The sequence below is a fragment of the Homo sapiens genome, chromosome 5 (assembly GCF_000001405.40).
Source record: "Homo sapiens chromosome 5, GRCh38.p14 Primary Assembly".
Classification (NCBI taxonomy): domain Eukaryota; kingdom Metazoa; phylum Chordata; class Mammalia; order Primates; family Hominidae; genus Homo; species Homo sapiens.
This window is the reverse complement of record NC_000005.10, coordinates 134,914,388-134,930,030: the sequence shown is the minus strand read 5'-3', so window position 1 is coordinate 134,930,030 and position 15,643 is coordinate 134,914,388. Positions and strand designations below refer to the sequence as shown.

General features: G+C 44.9%; 1 protein-coding gene and 6 pseudogenes across 1 annotated transcript in view, besides 3 other annotated features; 5 read left to right on the top strand and 2 right to left on the bottom strand.

The window, feature by feature from the left end:
* The window catches only part of PCBD2 (pterin-4 alpha-carbinolamine dehydratase 2), a 57,514-nt gene that overhangs the window by 32,614 nt on the left and 9,257 nt on the right, over window positions 1-15,643 (bottom strand). The gene's annotated exons all lie outside the window — the stretch shown is intronic.
* On the top strand, window positions 1,504-1,638 carry MTND3P25 (MT-ND3 pseudogene 25; annotated as a pseudogene).
* MTND4LP30 (MT-ND4L pseudogene 30) lies at window positions 1,705-2,001 on the top strand (annotated as a pseudogene).
* Window positions 1,995-3,370, top strand: MTND4P12 (MT-ND4 pseudogene 12; annotated as a pseudogene).
* Window positions 2,761-3,404: an enhancer, noted in NCBI's record as "OCT4-NANOG hESC enhancer chr5:134262317-134262960 (GRCh37/hg19 assembly coordinates)". NCBI's record gives its function as "activates a minimal SCP1, AML or CMV promoter by ChIP-STARR-seq in naive H9 embryonic stem cells {active_cell/tissue: H9 hESC(naive)}" and the evidence as "EXISTENCE:reporter gene assay evidence [ECO:0000049][PMID:30033119]".
* MTND5P11 (MT-ND5 pseudogene 11) lies at window positions 3,572-5,383 on the top strand (annotated as a pseudogene).
* Window positions 4,251-5,012: an enhancer, noted in NCBI's record as "OCT4-NANOG hESC enhancer chr5:134260709-134261470 (GRCh37/hg19 assembly coordinates)". NCBI's record gives its function as "activates a minimal SCP1, AML or CMV promoter by ChIP-STARR-seq in naive H9 embryonic stem cells {active_cell/tissue: H9 hESC(naive)}" and the evidence as "EXISTENCE:reporter gene assay evidence [ECO:0000049][PMID:30033119]".
* On the bottom strand, window positions 5,387-5,908 carry MTND6P4 (MT-ND6 pseudogene 4; annotated as a pseudogene).
* Window positions 5,978-6,272: a silencer, noted in NCBI's record as "tiled region #11731; K562 Repressive DNase unmatched - State 16:ElonW". NCBI's record gives its function as "represses a minimal TATA promoter and a strong SV40 promoter by Sharpr-MPRA in K562 cells {active_cell/tissue: K562}" and the evidence as "EXISTENCE:reporter gene assay evidence [ECO:0000049][PMID:27701403]".
* On the top strand, window positions 5,982-6,728 carry MTCYBP18 (MT-CYB pseudogene 18; annotated as a pseudogene).

Here is a 15,643-nt window from a genome sequence, read left to right as displayed (position 1 = left end):
AGCTCTAAGATGCTTAATTAATATCAAAACAAGGCTGGGCTGGGAACGATGGCTCATGCCTGTAATCCCAATACTTTGAGAGGGTGGGGTGGGAGGACTGTTGAGGTCAGGATTTCAAGACCAACTTAGGCAACATAGCGAGACCTTGTCTCTACAAAAAATGTTTTAAAAATTAGCCAGGCATGGTGGCATGTGCCTGTAGTCCAAGCTACTTGGGAGGCTGAGGCAGGCGGATCACTTGAGCCCAGGAGTTGGAGACTGCAGTGAGCTATGATCACACCACTGTACTCAAGGCTAGATGACAGAGGAAGACCCCATCTCTAAAAACAATGTTTTTAATTTAAAAAATAAGTCTGAAAGAACACCACAAACAAGTATAAGTCTAGGAATGAATTCTAAATGGAAAGAAAAGACAACAGACTAATGTCTGAGACTACCAGGTCTGTATAAAGCATAAGATCTCCACCTCCTCTCCAGGCTGTCCTGTGCCCCACCCACCGAAACCAACTTTGCTACGGTCACTGATGTCCTCCATGCTGCTTCCTCCAATGGGCATCCCCTGGTACTCATCTTACTTGGTGTCTCAGCAGAATTCATACTTCCCTCCTTTTGAAACACCATCTTCTTTTGGATTCTGTGACATGACATTGACCTGATTTTCTTCCCTTTTTTTTTTTTTTTTTTGAGACAAGGTCTCGCTCTATTACCCAGGTTGCAGTGCAGTAGCACAATCATAGCTCACTGCAGCCTCAAACTCCTGGCCTCAAGCAATTCTCCCGCCTTGGCCTCCCAAAATGCTGGGATTACAGGCAAGAGCCAACAGCCTTTTTCCATTTATCTAACAAATCTTTCTTGTCTTTGCCAACTCCTCCTCTTCTAACTCACCCCTAAATGGACCAAGTCCTGAGCCATCCTCTCTTCTCACACTATAATTTCTTCTTGAGTCATCTCATCTATTACCTTGGCTTTTTTCCATAAATACCTATGATTCTCCAATTATCTCCAACCCAGACCTCACCTCTGGCTTTCTAATTCAGACATAAATTTTCTGGAAGTTGACATTTGGATGTCTCACAGCACTCCTTAAACAGTGTCCAAACCAGAAATCTTGATCCCTGCATCCCAAACCCATTCCTCTCCCACACTTCCCCAGCTCAGTAAATATCACTTCCAGCCACCTATTTCCTCCTTTCCTCCAGGCCCGAAATCTGGGAGTCATGTTGCCTAGGCTGGAGTGGCACGATCTTGGCTTACTGCAAGCTCTGCCTCCCGGGTTTACACCATTCTCCTGCCTCAGCCTCCCAAGTAGCTGGGACTACAGGCGCCCGCCACCACGCCTGGCTAATTTTTTTGTATTTTTAGTAGAGACGGGGTTTCACCACGTTAGCCAGGATGGTCTCAATCTCCTGATCTCGTGATCTGCCTGTCTTGGCCTCCCAAAGTGCTAGGATTACAGGCGTGAGCCACCGCGCCCAGCCTGGAAGTCATTCTTAATACCCTTCACTCCTTTTACCCTTGCCATGAGCCCTACAAACAACTAACTTACCACTAATAGTCACATCGTCCCTCTTATTAATCATCATCCTAGCCCTAAGTCTGGCCTACGAATGATTATAAAAAGGGTTAGACTGAGCCGAATTGGTATATAGTTCAAACAAAACGAATGATTTCGACTCATTAAATTATGATAATCATATTTACCAAATGCCTCTCATTTACATAAATATTATACTAGAATTTACCATCTCACTTCTAGGAATACTAGTATATCGCTCACACCTGATATCCTCCCTACTATGCCTAGAAGGAATAATACTATCACTATTCATTATAGCCACTCTCATAACCCTCAACACCCACTCCCTCTTAGCCAATATTGTACCTATCGCCATACTAGTCTTTGCTGCCTGCAAGGCAGCAGTAGGCCTAGCCCTACTAGTCTCAATCTCCAACACGTATGGCCTAGACTACGTACATAACCTAAGCCTACTCCAATGCTAAAACTAATTGTCCCAACAATTATATTACTACCACTGACATGACTCTCCAAAAAACACATAATTTGAATCAACACAACCACTCACAGCCTAATTATTAGCACCATCCCCCTACTATTTTTCAACCAAATCAACAACAACCTATTTAGCTGCTCCTTATCCTTCTCCTCCGACCCCCTAACGACCCCCCTCCTAATACTAACTACCTGACTCCTGCCCCTCACAATCATGGCAAGCCAACGCCACTTATCCAATGAACCACTATCACGAAAAAAACTCTACCTCTCTATACTAATCTCCCTACAAATCTCCTTAATTATGACATTCACAGCCATAGAACTAATCATATTTTATATCTTCTTCGAAACCACACTTATCCCCACCCTGGCTATCATCACCCGATGAGGCAACCAACCAGAACGCCTGAACGCAGGTACATACTTCCTATTCTACACCCTAGTAGGCTCCCTCCCCCTACTCATCGCACTAATCTACACCCACAACACCCTAGGCTCACTGAATATTCTATTACTCACTCTTACTGCCCAAGAACTATCAAACTCCTGAGCCAATAACTTAATATGGCTAGCGTACACAATAGCTTTTATAGTAAAAATACCTCTTTACGGTCTCCACCTATGGCTCCCTAAAGCCCATGTCGAAGCCCCCATCGCTGGGTCAATAGTACTTGCTGCAGTACTCTTAAAATTAGGCGGCTATGGTATAATACGCCTCACACTCATTCTCAACCCCCTGACAAAACATATAGCCTACCCCTTCCTTGTACTATCCCTGTGAGGCATAATTATAACAAGCTCCATCTGCCTGCGACAAACAGACCTAAAATCGCTCATTGCATACTCTTCAATCAGCCACATAGCCCTCGTAGTAACAGCCATCCTCATCCAAACCCCCTGAAGCTTCACCGGCGCAGTCATTCTCATAGTCGCCCACGGACTTACATCCTCATTACTATTCTGCCTAGCAAACTCAAACTACGAACGTACCCACAGTCGCATCATAATTCTCTCTCAAGGACTTCAAACCCTACTCCCACTAATAGCCTTTTGATGACTTCTAGCAAGCCTCACTAATCTCGCCTTACCCCCCACTATTAACCTACTAGGAGAACTCTCTGTGCTAGTAACCACATTCTCCTGATCAAATATCACTCTCCTACTTACAGGACTCAACATACTAATCACAGCCCTATACTCCCTCTACATATTTACCACAACACAATGAGGCTCGCTCAGCCACCACATTAACAACATAAAACCCTCATTCACACGAGAAAACACTCTCATGTTCATACACCTATCCCCTATCCTCCTCCTATCCCTCAACCCCGATATCATTACCGGGTTTTCCTCCTGTAAATATAGTTTAACCAAAACATCAGATTGTGAATCTGACAACAGAGGCTCACGACCCCTTATTTACCGAGAAAGCGCATAAGAACTGCTAACTCATATCCCCATGTCTAACAACATGGCTTTCTCAACTTTTAAAGGATAACAGCCATCCGTTGGTCTTAGGCCCCAAAAATTTTGGTGCAACTCCAAATAAAAGTAATAACCATGTACGCTACTATACCCACCCTAGCCCTAACTTCCTTAATTCCCCCTATCCTTACCACCCTCATTAACCCTAATAAAAAAAACTCATATCCCCATTAAGTAAAATCCATTATCGCATCCACCCTTGTTATTAGTCTCTTCCCCACAACAATATTCATATACCTAGACCAAGAAGTCATTATCTCAAACTGACACTGGGCAACAACCCAAACAACCCAACTCTCCCTAAGCTTCAAACTAGATTATTTCTCCATAATATTTATCCCTGTAGCACTGTTCGTTACGTGATCCATCATAGAATTCTCACTATGATATATAAGCTCAGACCCAAACATTAATCAATTCTTCAAATACCTACTCATCTTCCTAATCACCATACTAATCCTAGTCACTGCTAACAACCTATTCCAGCTATTCATCGGCTGAGAAGGCGTAGGAATTATATCCTTTTTACTCATTAGTTGATGATACGCCCGAGCAGATGCCAACACAGCAGCTATTCAAGCAATCCTATACAACCGTATCGGCGACATCGGTTTCATCCTTGCCCTAGCATGATTTCTCCTACACTCCAACTCATGAGACCCACAACAAATAACCCTCCTAAGTGCTAATCCAAGCCTCACCCCACTACTAGGCTTCCTCCTAGCAGCAGCAGGCAAATCAGCTCAATTAGGCCTTCACCCCTGACTCCCCTCAGCCATAGAAGGCCCCACCCCTGTCTCAGCCCTACTCCACTCAAGCACTATAGTTGTAGCAGGAGTCTTCCTACTCATCCGCTTCCACCCCCTAGCAGAGAATAACCCACTAATCCAAACTCTCACACTATGCCTAGGCGCTATCACCACTCTGTTCGCAGCAGTCTGCGCCCTTACACAAAATGACATCAAAAAAATCGTGGCCTTCTCCACTTCAAGCCAACTAGGACTTATAATAGTCACAATCGGCATCAACCAACCACACCTAGCATTCCTGCACATCTGTACCCACGCCTTCTTCAAAGCCATACTATTTATATGCTCCGGATCCATCATCCACAACCTCAACAATGAACAAGATATTCGAAAAATAGGAGGACTACTCAAAACCATACCTCTTACTTCAACCTCCCTCACCATTGGCAACCTAGCATTGGCAGGAATACCCTTCCTCACAGGTTTCTACTCCAAAGACCACATCATCGAAACCGCAAACATATCATACACAAACGCCTGAGCCCTGTCTATTACTCTCATCGCCACCTCCCTGACAAGCGCCTATAGCACTCGAATAATTCTTCTCACCCTAACAGGTCAGCCTCGCTTCCCAGCCCTCACTAACATTAACGAAAACAACCCCACCCTACTAAACCCCATTAAACGCCTAACAATCGGAAGCCTATTTGCAGGGTTTCTCATCACCAACAGCATTCTCCCCACATCCACCCCCCAAATGACAATCCCACTTTACTTAAAACTCACAGCCCTAGGCGTCACTTCCCTAGGACTTCTAACAGCCCTAGATCTCAACTACCTAACCAACAAACTCAAAATAAAATCCCCACTGTATACATTTTACTTCTCTAATATACTCGGATTTTACCCTAGTATCATACACCGCACAGTCCCTTATCTAGGCCTTCTTACAAGCCAAAACCTACCCCTACTCCTCCTAGACCTGGCCTGACTAGAAAAGCTACTACCTAAAACAATCTCACAACACCAAATCTCCGCCTCCATCATCACCTCAACCCAAAAAGGCATAATCAAACTTTATTTCCTCTCTTTCTTCTTCCCACTCATCCTAACCCTACTCCTAATCACATAATCTATTCCCCCGAGCAATCTCTAGTACAATATACACACCAACAAACAATGTTCAACCAGTAACTACTACTAATCAACGCCCATAATCATACAAAGCCCCCGCACCAATAGGATCCTCCCGAATCAGCCCTGACCCTTCTCCTTCATAAATTATTCAACTTCCCACACTATTAAAATTTACCACAACCACCACCCCATCATACTCTTTCACCCATAACACTAATCCTACTTCCATCACCAACCCCACTAAAACACTTACCAAGACCTCAACCCCTGACCCCCATGCCTCAGGATACTCCTCAATAGCCACCGCTGTAGTATATCCAAAAACAACCATCATTCCCCCCAAATAAATTAAAAAAACCATTAAACCCATGTAACCTCCCCCGTAATTCAGAATAATAACACACCCAATCACACCACTAACAATCAATACTAAACCCCCATAAATAGGAGAAGGCTTAGAAGAAAACCCCACAAACCCCATTACTAAACCCACACTCAACAGAAATAAAGCATACATCATTATTCTTGCACGGGCTACAACCACGACCAATGATATGAAAAACCATCATTGTATTTCAACTACAAGAACACTAATGACCCCAATACGCAAAATTAACCCCTTGATAAAATTAATTAACCGCTCATTTATCGACCTCCCCACCCCATCCAATATCTCCGCATGATGAAACTTCGGCTCACTTCTTGGTGCCTGCCTAATCCTCCAAATCACCACAGGACTATTCCTAGCCATACACTACTCACCAGACGCTTCAACCGCCTTCTCATCGATCGCCCATATCACCCGAGACGTAAATTATGGCTGAATCATCCGCTACCTTCACGCCAATGGCGCCTCAATATTCTTCATCTGCCTCTTCCTACACATCGGCCGAGGCCTATATTACGGCTCATTTCTTTACCTAGAAACCTGAAACATTGGCATCATCCTCCTACTTACAACTATAGCAACAGCCTTCATGGGCTATGTCCTCCCATGAGGCCAAATATCCTTCTGAGGGGCCACAGTAATTACAAACCTGCTATCCGCCGTCCCATACATCGGAACAGATCTGGTCCAATGAATCTGAGGAGGCTACTCAGTAGATAGTCCCACCCTCACACGGTTCTTTACCTTTCACTTTATCTTGCCCTTCATTATCACAGCCCTAGCAGCGCTCCACCTTCTATTCCTACACGAAACAGGATCAAACAACCCCCTAGGAATCACCTCCCATTCCGACAAAATCACCTTCCACCCCTACTACACAATCAAAGACATCCTCGGCTTATTTCTCTTTCTTCTCACCCTAATGACGTTAACACTATTCTCACCATGGTTAGGCCTTCCCTAACCATGCTCCTCAAAGAGAATTAGGTCTTCCCATTATTCTCTCTCACAGCACTCCTTTCTGATGCAGAGGCAGTATCTGAGCCACTAACAGTATGGATTGCCTGGAATCCAATCCTGACTCCACACTTACTAGCTGTGAGACCTTGGGCAAGTCACTTAGCAAGTCTCAGTTTCCTCCTCTGTAAAATTTGGGAAATCTATTTCACAGAGTTCTGTGAAGATTAAATGAATGAATACATGTAAAGTCCTTCCCATAGTGCCATGACCCATAGTTTAAGTGTTCACTAACCATTTGCTGTTAAGATTTTCCTTCCTAGGGCCGGGCAGGTGGCTCACGCCTGTAATCCCAGCACTTTGGGAGGCGGAGGTGGGTGGATCACGAGGTCAGGAGATCGAGACCATCCTGGCTAACACGGTGAAACCCCGTGTCTACTAAAAAAATAAATAAATAAATACAAAAAATTAGCTGGGCGTGGTGGCGGGCACCTGTAATCCCAGCTACTCGGGAGGCTGAGGCAGGAGAATAGCGTGAACCCAGGAGGCGGAGCTTGCAGTGAGCCCAGATCACGCCACTGCACTCCAGCCTGGGTGACAGAGCGAGACTCCGTCTCAAAAAAAAAAAAAAAAAGATTTTCCTTCCTGGCACTTAGCATAACTTGTAATGATACATTAACTTTTTTCTTTGTTTACATTCTCCCTCCCCCACTATACTGTATGCTCTGTGAGGATAAGGACAGTATCGGCTTTGTTAACTGATACCCCAGTGTCTGGCATAGTGTCTAGCCTACAGTAAGTGTTTGATAACTGTTTATTGTTAAGTGCATAAAAATCAAGAAAAACTTTCTAGAAATAGGTGGGATGTGAACAGAAGGGGCAGGATAGTGTGAGATGGGGCATGGAAAGGAGAAGAACAGTTTGAATAAAGGAAGAAAAGAACTGAACTGAGGAGCTGGGTGTGGTGGCTCACACCTGTAATCCCAGCTACACAAGAGACTGAGGCAGGAGGATCGCTTGAGCCCAGGAGTTCCAGGCTGCAACCTGGGTGACCGAACAAGACCCCATCTCTAAAAACAAAACAAAACAAAAACAAAAAAACCACTGAACTGAGATGAAAAGGGCCTTGGTTCCAATTCCTGCATGGACACTAATTTTTGTGGCCTTGGTCAAGGTACTCACCCTGTCTGAGCCTTGTTTTCCCCACTTCTTCAGTGAAAGGGATGAGTAGGTGACCTCTCATGAACATTGCAGTTCTAATCTCTGAGCAAAGAGGCTTCTTGCAGAGTAATGCGAGGTAGGCTTAGGGCTGGGCTGTGGGCAGCTTTGAAAACCTCTGAGAAGATGAAGCATGCCCTATAAAATATAATTGGAAGGCAGTGAGATTATCTGAGCAGAGACCAACTTGGTCATGACAAAGTGGCACGCAGGCCAGTGGAAGCAGGAAGAGCCTAAAGGTAACATGTGGCCAGGAAGCTCCTACCAGAACTCTAGAGGGAAGGCAGCTGTATCCAGGCCAGCAGCACAGTCCTGTGAAAGGCACTACAGGACGACTGACCAGTTCTTGGTAACAAATCACCAGGATAATTCTTCCGTTTCAGGTCTAGGTGCTTGAGAGGATGCTGGTGTGGCTACTGAGAGGAACAAGCCATTTGAAGGACAGTTAGAGAGACAAGAGTTTGCTTTCAGACACCCTAAACTGGTGGGAAAGCTACCCCAGGAGAGTACGCCACAGGAACCCCCCTGTACTCTGTGGCCCAGCTCACTGAACCCATTTTAGGGCCCTTATTTCCCAACACACTGCAGACAAAGTATGTCCTCTTACTCCCTGTCCTAGACCTATGTCACCTGCTAACCCCTCCCTTAGTGCCTTCCCTTACAACCACATACCAGATCTTCAAGAACCAACTCAAAACTCCCCTTCTCCAGGCAGCAGCCACCCTGAAGTGCACCTCCTGTGGCTTATTAGCACAGCACTTCACATTCTAGTACCTGACTAACATGGTAAGCTGAAAAAAATCAATCACCTTGTACAATTCAGATGTGCCACCTCCCCAGCAAAACTAGGAGATCTTCTGGGCAGAAACGAAACCAGGTCCTTCTGTTGCATCTTCCTCCTTCCACCTCTTGGATCCAGACCAGCACTAGCCCCTCAGTGGATATAAGCCCAACAGCTCTGCTGGGTTCACGAATCCTGACAGAACCACACCATGTGACTCCTGGCCCAGCCAGCCTGGGGCTGCTCCACCCACCTGGTGCATGTCCACCGACAGGGCTGCGATGGCGAGGACAGGGCACTTGAAGTCAGTTTGATGTATGATATAGCAAAAAGCCTCAGCAGCTGGGCTCAACGCCTGTATTCCCAACACTTTGGGAGGCCAAGGCGGGCGGATCACTTGAGCTCAGGAGTTCAAGTACAGCCTGGCCATGTTGGCCATGTTGGTGAAACACCATCTCTACTAAAAATACAAAAAATTAGCCAGGCTTGGTGGCAGGTGCCTCTAATCCCAGCTACTTGAGAGGCTGAGGTGGGAGAATCGCTTGAACCTAGGAGGTGGAGGTTGCAGTGAGCCAAGATCACACCATTGCACTCCAGCCTAGCCGACAGAGCGAGACTCCGTCTCAAAAAAAAAAAAAAGCCTCCATCCTGCCCTGTTGGCAGAGAGCACACAAGCAAACAGAGTCATTAGCAGCATTTGCTGTTTTGATAGGATTGATTTTAATGATACAATTAAATGACCTTTGATTGCTCAACAGTGATACCTGGGCTACTCCCAAACAAGTACAGCTTTGTTTGTTTCAGCTGGCGAATATTCCCTTCCTCTGGGAAGTATGGTAAAACCCATTTAAGGGAGAAAACTAATCCAGCAAGTAGTCCTTGGAAAACAAGATCTCGCCTAAAACAACAAAATCAAAAAAACAACCTTTCTATGTCACAGTAGGATCTAAAAATGTTGCTGTGGGAACCAGGGATGTGAGTCTTGCATCTGGTAACTGTGACATGACCCAGTATGACCACAAGTAATTCCATGATCTCAATCTTGTTTAGTGTCTTTCTGCGAAATTCAGTAAATGAGTCAGAATGCCCCACTCTAACCTAGATCAAAAGCGCAACATAATAGTAATTCTCTGCAACACAGGGGAGAGAATATTACTGCTTTGTTTTGTTTAAAAGGATGTAAGAAAAAGAGCAAAACATGGAGAGCTCAAAGCCAGGAAGAAGAACCTCAGCCACCTGCCCACACCGCTGGACCGAATCCCTCCTGAGGGCAGAAAGCAACTGGCCGCTACCCAGCCACAGGAATGTGAGTGCAGCACTGCTCAGCCACTACAGCTGCTCCATCAGGCACCCAATATTTGTATTCTGACACATCTAAATGCAAGTTCTGTGTCATGGCCCTAAAGCACCACAACTATGGACAAAACTGCAGTGCAAACCCGAAAGCTATTGATAATGGCAGTACTGAAGCGGTGGGCAGGCATACTAACGAAAAACAGAAACAGAACAGAAATGAGCAAGACCAAAATACTTTTAAGTTATTATTTAAGGTCTCCTTTCAATTATTTTCTGCAATTATTGAGCCAGCAGTCTATTGTTATTAATTCACAGTCAACCTATTTAAGCGGTACCAGCAATGCAGGCAAATGCCTCAGCAATTTCCTAAGTTTTGGGTGTTATTTTCTTGTCAGTTAAATTTAAAGCAACCCATTTGTGACCACTTTATACCAAGTTAATCTCATCTAAAGTGCTTCACAGACCCTAACAGCTACACTAAGGTTTTATACTAATGAAAGCAATTTACATAAATGAAATTTATGTCACTGCATTTCATGACAAATTTTTTATTTTATAATAATTATGGTACTTATATGATAACATCTGTTGATATTCACAGTCTAAACCTGGCACAGATTTAAACCCACAACATTTTCCATGCATCATGTACATTATCTGTGAAAAGCAATAAAAAAAAGCAATGAATGCATTAATCATACCAATATCATCTGCAAAGCATAAATCTGAAATACCTTTCACGTCAGCTCAAACTGCTTTTTTATTTTTTACACACCTGATTTTACTCCATCTGTAAAAGGGCAAGACAAAGACTGTTGAGGAAATTATACTTCTTGGCTGCTTGACTTTAACAAAATACTCAGGCTAAGTTCTGTAAACAGAAGATTTACTACATGACTAAGAGCAAATTATGCAGTTAAAAGTCCATTTTTATTAAAGGGTGGTGTAAGGACCATGGTGTTTTCACACTGCAGTGTGGTGTCATATTTGCATTGTTGACACCTGTTTTACATTTCTCCTCATCTATCTGTTGCATGCGCTTTTACAAATACACGCCAGGTCTAGACCTACTGTACGACACAATCAGCAGCAACAAAGCTCCAAATGATAACATTTCAGGCTCTTATTTCCCTACCCTGGTGGACGCCAACACTGACATTCTAGCCACCTCCTGGGAGCATCAGCGTGGTCCTGCTCAGGAAGAACTCCAAAGGGAACACCAACATGAACACTACACAGATATTTTTACTAGCTTCTCACACTTTAGGTAAAGTTTGCTAAAATATGAGTGTCTCTATTCTATTCCAATGAAAACTATGAACACTTTCTCAGGTTTCTAGTCTGCTGTGGTTACAAAGCCAATCATGAGCACATGTTAAATGCAACAGTGTGTGTGACAGCCATACGAGTTTTCACTTTACCTGGTGCCAGACACACAAACACTAGCTTATACTTTCAAATCAAAACGACATTTTTTAATTTTTATTTTATTTTATTTTTTGAGATGGAGTACTCTGTCGCCCAGGCTGGAGTGCAGTGCCGTGATCTCTGCTCACTGCAACCTCCGCCTCCCGGGTTCAAGCCATTCTCCTGCCTCAGCCTCCCAAGTAGCTGGTATTACAGGCACCTTCTACCACGCCCAGCTGATTTTTGTATTTTTAGTAGAGAAGGGGTTTCGCCATTTTGGCCAGGCTGGTGTCGAACTCCTGACCTCTGGTGACCCGCCTGCTTCGGCCTCCCAAAGTGCTGGGATTACAGGTGTGAGCCACCATGCCCAGCACAAAATGACATTTTCTAACCTATATGATGCCCAGGCCACAGGCATCCTCTTTGGGAGTGCTTCCCTATCCTCCACAGGTAGAATATCCTCTTTAAAGAGTGCACAGATGCATTACTCACTCATAACTTTGATGTGCACAACAAAGAACAATCAAACCCAAACTAATTCATTCACAATGAGAGCTATCGAGACTTCCACCAATATTCTGTGGAGGATTGTTAAGACTTTCATCAGCAGTTGTCTTTCTTCTGGTATCATCAAGCCTTTGACTTCACTAAGTGTTTCAAAATGTTCACCATAAGCCTATTATCAAATTCCTCAATAAAACATTTTTATAAAGTAAGGCAGCAAAAGTAACTTTGAACTGCTCTACACAGGAGTCTCTGTGGACACAGGAAAAGAAACATTTTACGAACCCCAAAGTCACATATGGTGCTACTGCTGCTAGGATGTGCAGAGCACCACCAACCCAGCCTGGGCACCCAGAGAACTCCTCCTCCCTCCCGCTGCAGCTCCAGAAAGCTTCAGTGGCAGCAGCACAGCAACCAAAAGGTGAGGGTGATGAACAAGATACAAAACCAATAAAGCTTGGACTTTGCCCTGAATATCAACCAGCTCATATGATTCCATCCAATATGACTGAATGCCCTGCTGGGCAGGCCCACCGAAGAAAGCACAGACAGGGCCCAGGAGCTCCTCCGCAGAGAACCACCGCTGATTCTCACAAAGCTTGGTCCCTTCCTCCTGAATCACCATTGGAAACTCCTCATGTCCTACACACAAAATTTATCATTCACCCAAGCGCCCAGCCACTGCCGCTTACCTGTTCCTGATCCTGAGCTTATTTCCATGCTGAACAAGGGTAGCCCCAGGTATTCAGAAGTGAAAGAACAGGGACAGCCTTCTGGGGGGCAGAAAGGGGTGTTGCCGCCTGGCCCGGCTGGGCTCCTGCCCTGGAGGGCTCCACCTGCTGGCACCTGTAGTAGCTATTTCCTAGGTTCCAAAGCCTCACCTTCTGCACCTACTTTTAAACTTAAAATCTCCTCGGATTTTGTAAGCTTCCAGTTCATCCCATACATGTCAATGCATAACAAAATCTGTCTTTATGGGACTCTCACACCCACATTTCTACCTGACATTTTGTTCTTTCAACACAGACATCCTGCAGTTACCAAACACCTAAGTTTATATGTCACTTGCAGACCTCTCCCACCTTCTGTCTACAGGAACAACAAAAAAGCAAAGTTCCTTTACAAATGCCAATCCCACCCTGTCTGGGTCCAAGCACTCCTAGTGTGGAAACTCCCTGCCTCGAGTCCCACCACTGCCATGCTCTGTCTGCTCACAGAGTCACTGTCTGTCACCAACATACTGTCCATTGACGCACTGCAGAGCCCATGTACCACCACCAAGGGTGGAAACAGGAGGCTAACAGCAACTGACACCTATGGCTACTTCATCCACCTATGCTAGGAGAATCCCTTGAAAACTCCGTACTTATAATCTCCAAGTATTTGTATCCATCTGAGCTATCCAATGAATTTGGATTATTTGGAACTAACCATACCTTAGAATAAAACTCTGAGAGAAAAGAAGTTCAAATGTGTTTTGGGGGCTATTTATTCTTATAGTAAACCTGGAATAACTCAAAGCTTCAAGAAATAGGTTTTTCATCCACGGTCACTGAAATATTTCCAAAATAGTTCATTTTTCATAGCAGCAAAAGAAATGAAGACTAAAGCAAACTTGTGATACCACTGTACACAAACTACATTAGCAAATCATTTAACTGTGACACCCAACCAAGTAAAATCATACTCCTGAAAATTGTATTAAAAATAAAAAGACTAAAGAACTGAAAAATGCTCATAACCTATTGAGCAATACAAACAAAATGAATTTTTTAACCCTATATTCAGCAAAGATTTTTTTTTTGAGATAGTCTCACACTTTCGCTCAGCCTGGAGTGTGGTAGTGCAATCACAGCTCACTGCAGCCTCTACCTCCTGGGTTCAAATGATTCTCCAACCCTAGCCTCCCTCCCATGTAACTGAGACCACAGGTGCATGCCACCACTCTTGGCTAATTTTTATTTTTGTAGAGATGGAGTCTCCTTGTGTTGCCCAGGCTAGCCTCAAACTCCTTGGCTCAAGCAACCCACTCAACTCGGCCTCCCAGAGTTCTGGGATTACAGGCGTGAGCCATCGTGCCTGGCCCCCAAATTTTTTTCCAATATGACACCACCAAGTGTGGGTCACACTCTTTCAGGGAGAGGGTGTCTTTAGTTCTGACTGTGGCTTTGTCCAGTCTGTAGAGCTCAGGCCAGGAGAGGTGCTGCCATTGCTATGAGTATATGGAGCACAACAGGCCTCCCTTAAACCCCACTGAGGGCAGGGTTGCAGCAAGGGAGATATGTTCTCACCATGGTGTGCATATGCTCATGGAAATGGCTGCTCACAATAAAAAATTAGAGGCCTGGTGCAGCGGCTCATGCCTATAACCCCAATACTTTGAGAGGCTGAGGCAGGAGGATCACTTGAGCCCAGGAGTTCAAGACCAGCCTGGGCAACATGGAGAAACCCCCTTTCTGCAAAAAAAAATTCAAAAATTAGCCAGGCATGGTGGCACACACCTGTAGTACCAGCTACTCAGGAGGCTGAGGTGGGATGATCGCCTGAGCCCAGGGAGTTCAAGGCTGCAGTGAGTCATGACCACACCACTGCACTCCAGCCTGGGCAACAGAATTAGACCCTGTCTCAAAAAAAAAAAAAAAAAAAAAAAAAAAATTAGAGGCCCATCAGGCTTTAATAGACATCCCCATACATCCTATTTGCATACATGCAGAACAATATTTAGAAGATAAATTTCTAGGTTAGGACAATGGATATGTCCTTTTTTTTCTTTTTTTGAGACACAGTCTCGCTTTGTCACCCAGGCTGGAGTGAAATGGTGTGATCTCGGCTCACTGCAACCTCCGCCTCCCAGGTTCAAGCGATTCTCCTCCCTCAGCCTCCTGAGTAGCTGGGATTACAGGCGCACGCCACCACGCCTGGTTAATTTTTGTATTTTTGGTAGAGACAGGGTTTCACCAGGTTGGTCAGGCTGGTCTCGAACTCCTGACTTCGTGATCCACCTACCTCAGCTTCCCAAAGTGCTGGGATTACAGATGTGAGCCACCGCGCCCGGCTCTGGTATGTGAGTTTTAAAAGTTGATAGGCATTGCTCAATTTCCCTTCAAAAAGATGATGTCAACTGGGTGCAGTGGCTCATGCCTGTAATCCCAACACTTTGGTAGGCCGAGGCGGGCAGATCACCTGAGGTCAGGAATTCAAGACCAGCCTGGCCAACATGGCAAAACCCCATCTCTACTATAAATACAAAAAATTAGCTGGGCATGATGGCGGGCGCCTGTAATCCCAGCTACTCTGGAGGCTGAGGCAGAAGAATCACTTGAATCTGGGAGGTGGAGGTTGCAGTGAGCCAAGATCGCACCATTGTACTCCAGACTGGGTGACAAGAGTGAAACTCCATCTGAAAAAAAAAAAAATAGATGATGTCAAATGACACTCTCAGCTCATCACTATCACCTCCCCATCACAACTGTACTTCCCTACCCTGCCGAGACTCCAAGGGCCAGCGTTTCTGTCCCTCCCTTTTTTCCCTTGTCCCTCTGTTCCTCCATTGCATTCATTTAGCAAAAGTTCAGTCCTTGTTAAGCCCAACTCTGCATCTACTCCAGCTTGTGCACAGCAGCGGAACACAGCAGGAAAAAAAACATACAAAATGTTCACTTTAAATGTTTGACCCCAAATCTGTAGTGACACTGAGAACTGCT